The 10,063-nt window shown below is 59.9% G+C and overlaps 2 protein-coding genes across 3 annotated transcripts, besides 7 other annotated features; one reads left to right on the forward strand and one right to left on the reverse strand.

Annotated features, from left to right (window-relative positions):
* The first annotated feature begins 1,816 nt into the window (after nucleotides 1–1,816).
* TMEM190 (transmembrane protein 190) lies at nucleotides 1,817–3,237 on the forward strand. Of its 2 annotated transcripts, NM_139172.3 has the most exons (5): nucleotides 1,817–1,902; nucleotides 1,982–2,017; nucleotides 2,584–2,709; nucleotides 2,793–2,877; nucleotides 2,966–3,237. In NM_139172.3, exons 1-5 carry the CDS (start codon nucleotides 1,845–1,847, stop codon nucleotides 3,192–3,194), a joined length of 534 nt encoding a protein of 177 aa, NP_631911.1. In that variant the 5' UTR covers nucleotides 1,817–1,844; the 3' UTR covers nucleotides 3,195–3,237. The 2 variants fall into 2 exon arrangements, with proteins under 2 accessions (NP_631911.1, XP_016881820.1); XM_017026331.2 differs by lacking the exon at nucleotides 2,584–2,709.
* Nucleotides 4,235–9,283, reverse strand: TMEM238 (transmembrane protein 238). Its single transcript, NM_001190764.2, has 2 exons — nucleotides 8,713–9,283; nucleotides 4,235–4,358 (listed from the first exon to the last, which is right to left on the reverse strand). Exon 1 carries the CDS (start codon nucleotides 9,248–9,250, stop codon nucleotides 8,720–8,722), a length of 531 nt encoding a protein of 176 aa, NP_001177693.1. The 5' UTR covers nucleotides 9,251–9,283; the 3' UTR covers nucleotides 4,235–4,358; nucleotides 8,713–8,719.
* Nucleotides 4,286–4,786: an enhancer, noted in NCBI's record as "H3K4me1 hESC enhancer chr19:55890663-55891163 (GRCh37/hg19 assembly coordinates)". NCBI's record gives its function as "activates a minimal SCP1, AML or CMV promoter by ChIP-STARR-seq in primed H9 embryonic stem cells {active_cell/tissue: H9 hESC(primed)}" and the evidence as "EXISTENCE:reporter gene assay evidence [ECO:0000049][PMID:30033119]".
* Nucleotides 8,789–8,878: a silencer, noted in NCBI's record as "silent region_11027". NCBI's record gives its function as "represses an Ori minimal core promoter by ATAC-STARR-seq in GM12878 lymphoblastoid cells {active_cell/tissue: GM12878}" and the evidence as "EXISTENCE:reporter gene assay evidence [ECO:0000049][PMID:35858748]".
* Nucleotides 8,883–9,845: an enhancer, noted in NCBI's record as "H3K27ac-H3K4me1 hESC enhancer chr19:55895260-55896222 (GRCh37/hg19 assembly coordinates)". NCBI's record gives its function as "activates a minimal SCP1, AML or CMV promoter by ChIP-STARR-seq in primed H9 embryonic stem cells {active_cell/tissue: H9 hESC(primed)}" and the evidence as "EXISTENCE:reporter gene assay evidence [ECO:0000049][PMID:30033119]".
* Nucleotides 8,883–9,868: a biological region, named in NCBI's record as "H3K27ac-H3K4me1 hESC enhancer GRCh37_chr19:55895260-55896222".
* Nucleotides 9,169–9,508: a silencer, noted in NCBI's record as "silent region_11028". NCBI's record gives its function as "represses an Ori minimal core promoter by ATAC-STARR-seq in GM12878 lymphoblastoid cells {active_cell/tissue: GM12878}" and the evidence as "EXISTENCE:reporter gene assay evidence [ECO:0000049][PMID:35858748]".
* Nucleotides 9,799–9,868: an enhancer, noted in NCBI's record as "active region_15092". NCBI's record gives its function as "activates an Ori minimal core promoter by ATAC-STARR-seq in GM12878 lymphoblastoid cells {active_cell/tissue: GM12878}" and the evidence as "EXISTENCE:reporter gene assay evidence [ECO:0000049][PMID:35858748]".
* Nucleotides 9,899–9,968: an enhancer, noted in NCBI's record as "active region_15093". NCBI's record gives its function as "activates an Ori minimal core promoter by ATAC-STARR-seq in GM12878 lymphoblastoid cells {active_cell/tissue: GM12878}" and the evidence as "EXISTENCE:reporter gene assay evidence [ECO:0000049][PMID:35858748]".

Genomic DNA, 10,063 nt, shown 5'->3' on the forward strand with positions numbered 1-10,063 from the left:
CCTCAGACCCAGGAGTCCAGGCCCCCAGCCCCTCCTCCCTCAGACCCAGGAGTCCCGGACCCGGACCCCCCAGCTCCTCCTCCCTCAGACCCAGGAGTCCAGGCCCCCAGCCCCTCCTCCCTCAGACCCAGGAGTCCGGGACCCCCCAGCCCCTCCTCCCTCAGACCCAGGAGTCCAGGGCCCCAGCCCCTCCTCCCTCAGACCCAGGAGTCCAGGCTCCCGCCCCTTCTCCCTCAGACCCAGGAGTCTGGGAACCCCCAGCCCCTCCTCCCTCAGACCCAGGAGTCCAGGCCCCCAGCCCCTCCTCCCTCAGACCCAGGAGTCCAGGCTCTAGCCCCTCCTCCCTCAGACCCGGGAGTCCAGGCCCCCAGCCCCTCCTCCCTCAGACCCAGGAGTCCAGGCTCCAGCCCCTTCTCCCTCTAATGCAGGTGTCTGAGTTTACAACCCCCTTTTCCTTCAGATGCAGGACTTCTAGCCCAGAGACTGTCCCAGGGAGCTAAGACTCCCTCCTCACTGTGCTGCAAAGCTGAATGGATGAGTTGGGGTGCACTAGGGATTATGGTTCCAACCCAGCCCCCCATTCCGGTTTCCTCTTCTTGGAAGCCAAGTTTTCTCTCAGTCACTGGGGAGTGGTGGGGGGAATCAATGTGGAAGCTTCAGGATCTCCGTTTAGCCGACTCCCTCCCACCACTCCCTAACCTCTGTTCACAGATGGGGAAACAAATCCAGGAGGGAAATGTGGGCTCCCTGTCCAGGAGCCACCATTACAGTCTCCGAGCAGCTCTGGCCCACCAGGCCCTCAAACTCAGCAGGGGCCCACATGGCCTGTCCCCTTCCCTGTTTGTTTTTTTTTTCTTTTTTCTTTTTTTTTTTTGACACAGAGTCTCACTCCTTCACCCAGGCTAGAGTGCAGTGGCACGATCTCGACTCACTGTAACCTCCACTTTCTGGGTTCAAGCAACCTCCACCTCCTGGGTTCAAGCAATCCTCCTGCCTCAGCCTCCCGAGTAGCTGGGATTACAGGCAAGTAATCACCACGCCCAGCTGATTTTTGTATTTTTAGTAGGGACGGGGCTTCCCCATGTTGGCCAGTCTGGTCTCGAACTCCTGACCTCAGGTGACCCGCCTGCCTTGGCTTCCCAAAGTGCTGGGGTTATAGGCGTGAGCCACCGCGCCCAGCCCTATCACCTTCCCTGCTAAACATTCCCTAGACAGCAGGCCTGGCAGGGCTGAGATGAAAAGCCTTTCTCAAGACCCCTGGACCAGGAGACCCCCGGACTTAGGCTCCGGCCCCTTGTCTCATCCCCCTCCCAGGTCTTCTCATTGCGGGGGGGACTTTCCCTAACAATGGGGCTCAGTGAGGCCTCTGTGTCTCACAGCTCCCCTTCCCCTGGTTGTTAAGGCGAAAAACTCCCTAGCAACGGGGTTTCCTGAACCTTCGGGCCACCCGAATCCACCTTCTCAGGTATCAGTTTCCTTAGGAAAGAAACTCCCTAGCAAAGCCTCCCAGTTCCCCACCCCTCAGGGCGCCCCGGGTGATATGGAGACACGCCCCAGACTCCCACGCCCTTCCAGACTTCTCTTTCCCACCATAAGTGGCCAAAGAGGCTCTTCTAAACCTGAGACGCCCCCACTCTTCCACCAGGTCCCTAAAGAATCAACACCCTAGACCAGGCATGGCCAGGCTGGTGTGAAGCCCTTCCACGTCCGTAGCACACCCCTGACTCCCTAGCAACAGAACTCACAATCCTGGGGCCTGGCGGGCAGGCGGGCGGGGCCGGTTGCTGGGGTGATGTCCTGTAAGGCCTCTTCCCACAGTGGCCCCAGGGGTCTGGGGAGGTGACATGTTGGGCTGTGGGATCCCAGCGCTGGGCCTGCTCCTGCTGCTGCAGGGCTCGGCAGGTGAGGGGCTGGTGAGGCGGGGGAGCTGAGGAGGGACGCCCGGCTCCACACAGCCCTAACACTGCCCTTTCTCTCGCAGACGGAAATGGAATCCAGGGATTCTTCTACCCATGGAGTGAGCAGCCGCTGAAATACTGGGTCACCCAGGGAGGGGAGCCCAGATCAGACCCCTGAATCTGAGGGAGGAGGAGCTGGGGCCTGGACTCCTGGATCTGAGGGAGGACGGGGGGGTCTGGACTCCTGGGTCTGAGGGAGGAGGGGCTGGGGGCCTGGATCCCTGGATCTGAGGGAGGAGGGGCTGGGGTCCTGGATTCCTTGGTCTGAGGGAGGAGGGCTGGACCTGGACTCCTGGGTGTGAGGGAGGAGGGGCTGGGGCCTGGACTCCTGGGTCTGAGGGAGGAGGGGCTGGGCCTGGACTCCTGGGTCTGAAGGAGGGGGCTGGGGCCTGGACTCCTGGGTCTGAGGGAGGAGGGGCTGGGCCTGGACTCCTGGGTCTGAAGGAGGGGGCTGGGGCCTGGACTCCTGGGTCTGAGGGAGGAGGGGGTGGAGTCTGGACCCCTGGGGCCCTGCACAGAGTAAGCACCAGGAAGGCAGCCTGGGAGCATGGCCTTGGAATCTCGTGTATGAGGCCTTCGGAGCGGAGCGCTGTGATGAAGCAAGCCACTGGTGGTTGGTCCCCAGGCTGTGAGGGTGACATATGGGACCGGGAGAGCTGTGGGGGCCAGGCGGCCATCGATAGCCCCAACCTCTGCCTGCGTCTCCGGTGCTGCTACCGCAATGGGGTCTGCTACCACCAGCGTCCAGACGGTGAGGGCTCCTGGCCCCAGGTCCCTGGGGCGTGGGTCTGGCGGTCGGGAGCCCCGGGTCTTAACCCTGCCTCCCTTGTCCAGAAAACGTGCGGAGGAAGCACATGTGGGCGCTGGTCTGGACGTGCAGCGGCCTCCTCCTCCTGAGCTGCAGCATCTGCTTGTTCTGGCGAGTGGGCCTGGGATAGGGCGGGCGCCTGCACCCCCAGGGGGAGGGTCCGGCGGAGGGCGGGGGCTGAGCCGTCCGCTCCCTGCAGGTGGGCCAAGCGCCGGGACGTGCTGCATATGCCCGGTTTCCTGGCGGGTCCGTGTGACATGTCCAAGTCCGTCTCGCTGCTCTCCAAGCACCGAGGGACCAAGAAGACGCCGTCCACGGGCAGCGTGCCAGTCGCCCTGTCCAAAGAGTCCAGGGATGTGGAGGGAGGCACCGAGGGGGAAGGGACGGAGGAGGGTGAGGAGACAGAGGGCGAGGAAGAGGAGGATTAGGGGAGTCCCCGGGGGACTGCTCAATACAGATACGGTGGACGGACGTGTGTTCTCTTCTCTGAAAGCCGTGGGGAGCAGGGGGCATGGTGCACACAGAGGCTGGGGTAACAGGTGGGGGCTGGAGGGGGCTTGGGGATGGAGGCTTAGGGGGCGCCAGGCTGTGGTCGTGGGGGTGTGAGCTGAGGGGGAGCCTGGAATGAGAGAGATCTGGGAGGTAAGTGGGGAGGATCCGAGCTGAGGGGGATCTGCGCTCATGGGGGTGTCCTGGGCTGTGATCATGGGGACCCTGGACTGAGGGGATAGAGGTGTACGAGTGCTGGAGTGCGGGTCTGAAATGAGGGAGTTGGGGGTATGTGGGGGTGGTGGGGTCTGAGGGGTGCCTGGACTGGGTGGGGAGAGGGGCACGCCACAGCTGTGGAAACGTGCCCCTCAGTCTCCTACATGGAGTGCCAGTGACTGACAGTGCCCCCCGCCCCCACCCCAGATGCACCTAGATTACCATGGGTTGCTCTCCACCAATAACTGAGCATGGCGAGGCAAGGGGTGGGGGTTCCGGGTACAGGTGCCTTCTCGAAGGGCAGGGGCCTCCCTCATGGACGATGACTTCAGCTCCCAGCTCCCCAGGGGCCAGTGGCAATTTTCTTGGAGGTGCGGTACAGTCTAAGACTAGTCCTACCCATCCCTCCCTCCCTCTCCCTGCACCAAGCTACCCTACAAAAGTGTTTCCCCAAGACATATCTTGCAAGTCCAGTTTGTCTCTGTGTCTGCTTCTCAGTGAACCCAAACTCACACAGGGATGTTGGGGCTTAGAGTGGAGGGTCTGGGCTAAGATCCTTATCCCCCGCCCCCTCTCTGGCCCCCTCTGAGAAGGGGCCAGCATAAGGCTAGGCTCCTATATCCCCAGGGCTCCTGGTCTCCCCAGGGCAGGGGCAGCCTCACCTCAGGTGTGGCCAGGCCCACCTGGGTGCTAGAAGGAAGCAAGCCACCTCGTCTCCATTCCCACCCCAGCAGGGTCCCTCTCCCAGACAGACATGCAGCACTAAGGCAAATCTGCTTTTTATCCAAGTGAGGAGGGAGGGGGTACAGGGAGCGTCCGTCTGGCCACGGATGTAGGGGCAGCTGCACATCTCAGTCTGGTCCTGACAGCTGGAGCCAAGGGGTTGTCTGCAGGAGGGAGGGTGGAGTGAGCGACTGCTCAGGAACCCCTCCCATCCCTGTTCCGGGCTCTCTGCCTGCGGGGGCAGAGGCAGGGAGCCCCATCCGCCTGCCCTTGCCGCTCACATGGACTCACACACTTGCTCCTTCATCCCTGCATGCCCCCATTTGCTGAGTGTGTGCATGCGTGTGTACCTTTAACGCCCTGAAATCCAAGGGTAGAGGCCAGGGAATGCGAGCCAGGGAGAGGCAGAAAGGGGGAGACGAAGACATGCAGAAGGGGAAAGGCAGAAGCACAGGGACAAAGAAAGAGACCTGGGAGACAGAGACACAGAGACAAAGAGTGAGAGAGAGGGAGACAGGCAGACACAGTGAAGACAGAAGGAGGCCGGGCATCGTGGTCCTCATCTCAGACCCTCACCCCAGCATTTTGGCTGCAGGCAGGAGGATCACTTGAGCCCAGGAGTTTGACACCAGCCTGGGTAACATAGGAAGACCCCGTCTCTGGTACCTGTAGTCCCAGTTCCTTGGGAGGCTGAGGTGGGAGGATTGCTTGAGCCCAGGAGGTGGAGGCTGCAGTGAGCTGTGATTGCACCACTGCTCTCCAGCCTGAACAACAGAGTGATGGGGGTGGCTCTGCCCGGCTACTCATGGTGGTCTCGGAGGTTGTGGGGGTACCAGAGCCAGAACCTGTGGGTCCCTCTGCTAAAATTCAGGTTCTCTGTCTTTCATGCGCTGGAAGCTGCTCACTCTCCCCAGTAAACAAGAGTCCTGGGTTTGAACAGGCCCATTTTCCTCTAAGTGGGGCCTACGTTCGAGTCAGTGTGGTCTGAGTCTTTGGTGGAGGCTCCAAGAGTGGAGGCCTGTGCAGCTGTGTTAGACGTTTAAGCTACGTAAAGGATTCTCCTCTCCTCCCCTCCCCTCCCCTCCCCCCTTCCCCCCTCCCCTCCCCCCTTGCCCGTCCCCTCCCCCTTCCCCCTTCCCCCTCCCCTCCCTTCCCCCCTTCCCTCCCTGCTTCCCCCTCCCCTCCCCCTTCCCCCCTCCTCCCCTCCCCTCCCCTCCTCTCCTCTCCTTTTCTTTTTTTGAGATGGAGTCTTGCTCTGTTGCCCAAGCTGGAGTGCAGTGGCACGATCTTGGTTCACTGCAACCTCCGCCTCCCAGATTCAAGTGATTCTCCTGCCTCAGCCTCCCTAGTAGCTGGGATTACAGGCGTCCGCCACCATGCCTGGCTAATTTTTGTATTTTTAGTAGAGACAGGGTTTCACCATGGTTGCCAGGTTGGTCTCGAACTCCTGACCTCAGGTGATCCACCCGCCTCGGCCTCCCAAAGTGCTGGGATTACAGGCATGAGCCACCATGCCCAACCTCATAAAGGATGTTCTTTTCTTTCTTTTTTTGAGACGGGTTCTCACTCTGTCACTCAGGCTGGAGTGCAGTGGCGTGATCTTGGCTCACTGCAGCCTTTGCCTCCCAGGTTCAAGCAAGCAATTCTCCCACCTCGGCCTCCCAAAGTGCTGGGATTACAGGCATGAGCCACTGTGCTCAGCCAGGATTTCCAAAGGTAACAGTAACTACAGGTGCTTATGTTTGCATTCTATGCCAAGCTTCATGTTAGCTTACGCTTCACCCGTGCAAGCAGATGTTCATGCTTTCTTACCCCAGTTCCTTCACTGAATCACGGCACGTAGCATATGATTGGGGTGACTATTTCCCCAAATCTCACAAAGAATAATATATAACTGGTAGCATTCTGGATGCATAGGAGAAAAGTTAATTCCAGCCGGGCACGGTGGTTCACGCCTGTAATCCCAGCACTTTGGGTGGCCGAGGTGGGCGGATCACCCGAGATCGGGAGTTTGAGACCAGCCTGACCAACATGGAGAAACCCCGTCTCTACTAAAAATACAAAATTAGCCAGGTGTGGGGGTGCATGCCTGTAATCCCAGCTACTCGGGAAGCTGAGGCAAGAGAATTGCTTGAACGCGGGAGGCAGAGGTTGCAGTGAGCCGAGATTGCGCCACTGCACTCCAGCCTGGACAACAAGAGTGTAACTCCATCTCAAAAAAAAAAAAAAAAAAAAAAAAAGTTAATTATTTACCTACATAGAACGTCCTAGGATAATAGGGTTTAATTCTTTTACCAAAACCCTATTTGAGAGATGAATTCAGTCACCCAACCATCCATGTGCCATTAAATGCATTCATCCACTCATCTGTGTACTTATCATTCAGCCCCAACCATCTATTCAACTACCCATTCACCCATCTACCTATCTATCCAGAGAGCGCACAGAGGCTGGGCAAACTCTGACTGTCCTATGGATAGTCCTATGGACCAGCCGAGGCCCCTGCCCCAAGGAGTTCCCAGGTGTAACCGCAAGTTAAGGTGCCCTGGGGAGGTGACACAGGCACCCTCATTTCTTTTGTTCAGTAGGAGTCTCTGAGGCCTCCCCAGTACCATGCTGCATGGGTGAGGCCGAGGACACAGAGAAGTATCAGGAAAAGCTCTTGCCCCTTTATCAGGCAGGGCTCCCTCTCCAACCATATCCATTCATGGTTCATTGCCCAATTCACCACCTACCCATATCTACCCATTAAACAACCCATCCATCCGTCAATCCAACCACATCCCTGCATCAACCAACCCATGTATTCACCCATCCACCCACCCACCCATCTGTCCATTCACCCGTCCATCCACCCATCCATCTACCCATCCACCTATCCAACCACCCACCCATCTATGCATTCACCCATCCATCCATCAAACAACTCATCCATCCACGCACCCATCGATCTACCCATCCACCCACCCACCCATCTATCAATCTATCATCCATTCACCCATGCATCCATCAACCAACTCATCCATCCATCCACCCATCCATCTACCCATCCACCCATCCAGCCATCCGTTCTTCCATCCATCCTTCCACTTCCCTACCCAACCATCAACCTTTCCTGATTTCACACTTTTTGCTGGGCAATGCTAGGAACAAGGACGCTAGGGACCTAGGTCTTACCCTCAAGGCACTCCCTGTCAGGTGGGAGAGACAGTAACAACATAGACACAGCACATGGCCATATAAGCAGCAAGAGGGGTCGCTCAGACAATATGAAGACCCAGAGAAGACCCAGAGAAATTAAGTTAAATCTTAAACATGTGAGAAGTTTTCTGGGTGGAGTGGAGACAGCCAAGGGCACTCCTGGTGTAGAGAAGAGCAGGAACAGGGACCAACTGGCTATCTGTGGACTAAGAGACACCATTAGTGCAGAGAGGCAGGAGAAATGGGGCCAAAATATGGGGGGTCCACAGGCCAGTGAGTGCTTCAGTTTAACCAAAGGTGAAGAGGGAGCCACAGCAGGTCTTTGAGCAGAGGCAGGCTAGCTGGAAAGGTGTGTTTAGGAAAGAGATAGAAGGTAGAGGGGAAAGGGGAGTGAATGTGTGGTGGCTTCATTTCTCCTGCTGTTGGTCCTTCTTACTCCTCCTTTTCTAGGCCTACAGGTCAGGAAAATCCCAGCTCCTCCTTTCCTAGGCCTACAGGTCAGGAGAATCCCAGCTCCTCTTTTCCTAGGCCTACAGGTCAGGAGAATCCCAGCTCCTCCACCTACGTGTTGTGTGGCCTTGGGCAAATGTGGCGCCTTTCTGCGCTTCAGTTTCCTCCACTGCAGAATGGGGATGGTAATAGTAGTGACCTTGGAGACCAGTTACATGGAGAGGATTAAATGGGGCCTGGTCTGGGCTCAGTGGCTCACGCCTGTAATCCCAGCACTTTGGGAGGCTGAGGAGAGCAAATCGCATGAGCTCAGGAGGTGGGGACCAACCTGGCCCACATGGCAAAACCCCGTCTCTACTAAATATACAAAAATTAGCCCGGCAAGGTGGGGCGCACATGTATTCTCAGCTACTTGGGAGGCTCAGGTGGGAGGACTGCTTGAGCCTAGGAGGTCGAGGCTGCTGTGAGCTGAGATCACGCCACTGCACTCCAGCCTGGGTGACAGTGAGAGATCCTGTCTCAAAACAACCCCAAACGACAACAAAACAAAACAAAACAAAAAATGGGGCCTGGTGTACCTGGAAGCTGGGGCTCTCCCCGTGCGGGGGGCCTAACTGTGTGACTCGACCCCCACACTTCCCATCTCCAGGGGCAGGGTCTCACAGCCTCCCCCACGTATGCACCTGTGCTTGCTGTGTCTGCGGTTCTCCGCCAGAGCCTTCCCGTCCCTGTCTCCACCCCGCCCTGGGACTCTACCTCCCCATGGCCGCTCTCTGTCTCCATCTGTCCATCGCTCCCCCGTCTGTCTCCATTCCCGTCCCTCCCTCGGTCCCTCCGTCTCCCCGCCCTGCCCCGCCCGCCCCTCACCTGGGCCTCACTCGCTGCCCGCGCCCGCCGCCCCGGGCCCGGCCTCGAGCGTGGCGAGCTGCAGGCGCACGCGGCGGGAGCCGGCGGCGGGCGGCGGGGGCGCGCGGGCGGCTCGGCGCGCTCTCCGGGAGCCGGGCGCGGGGCGCTGGCCCGCGGCGGCGGGCGCCGACCAGCGGCGGGAGAGCTTGCGCGCCAGGCGGGCGAGCGCCGAGGGCCGCAGGCCGTAGTCGCGCTCCAGCTCCTGGCGCGAGATCTCGATGTTGCCGGTGTACCAGAGGATCCAGCCCAGCAGGCTCAGGAACACCAGCAGCGCGCCCGAGTAGATGAGCAGGTCCCCGAAGTCGCGGCCGCGCACCTGCAGCTGCGCGAACACGCCGGTCAGCAGCGCCGCCATGCCCGCCACATCCAGCGCCACGGCCAGCAGCAGCGCCATCCGGCAGCGGCCCAGGCCGGCCGCGGGTGCTGGCGCGGCCGCCGGCGCGGACGGTGCACCCGGCGGGCTCCCCTGCGAGGCGCACACCGCTGGCGCCGCCGCCATGGCCCTGCACCGCCGCCGCTGGCGCCCAGAGAGAGCGTTCCGGGGTGCGGCCCGGTCCGGGGCGGGGTCAGGGGACGGCGCCAGGTGTGCCAAGCTCCCGCCTGGTCACCTGAACCGGGCTGGGCGCGAACCGGCGCGGCCGGGGTTACCCTGGTCGTGGTTTCCGTGCAGGGGCTATTGCTCAGAGGCCTGAGCTGGTGGTAGCCAGGCGCACAGCCACGGGTGCCTAGGGCCCGTGCCACCCAGGGAGGTCACATATGGCCAAAAATCAGGGCATTTTAGTGGTGGCAGCATGGGACACTCGGAGCCGGGCGTGGCGTTGTTTCTGCTCAGTGTCCGCCTCCCGAAGCCTGTGCAGATCAGACAGTGCAGATCAGACAAGGCCTTTAGACACCAAGGAGCTCTGGGACGCGAGAACCAGTAGTCGGGGTGATCTAAGAGGGGAAGCTCCGGGTTCCGCGGAAGCTGAGTTTCCTTCACTCAGCGCGTGTCTTCTGGGGTCTCCTGTGTTCAGCGAATGAAGCCACGGGCACAAGGACGGACGAGACCCATCAGGTCCAGAGCGCACCCGTGGAGGAAGCTGGGCGAACCCCGACTGTCCTATGGAGGATAGTCCTATGGACCAGACGAAGCCCCTGCCCCAAGGAGTGCCCGGGTGTAACCGCAAGTTAAGGAGCCCTGGGGAGGTGACACAGGCACCCTCATTCCTTTTGTTCAGTAGGAGTCTCTGAGGCCTCCCCAGCACCATGCCGCGTGGGTGAGGCCGAGGACACAGAGAAATATCAGGCAAGGCTCCTGCCCCCTTAGGGTGGC

Source organism: Homo sapiens, chromosome 19 (genome assembly GCF_000001405.40).
Source record: "Homo sapiens chromosome 19, GRCh38.p14 Primary Assembly".
Taxonomy (NCBI): domain Eukaryota; kingdom Metazoa; phylum Chordata; class Mammalia; order Primates; family Hominidae; genus Homo; species Homo sapiens.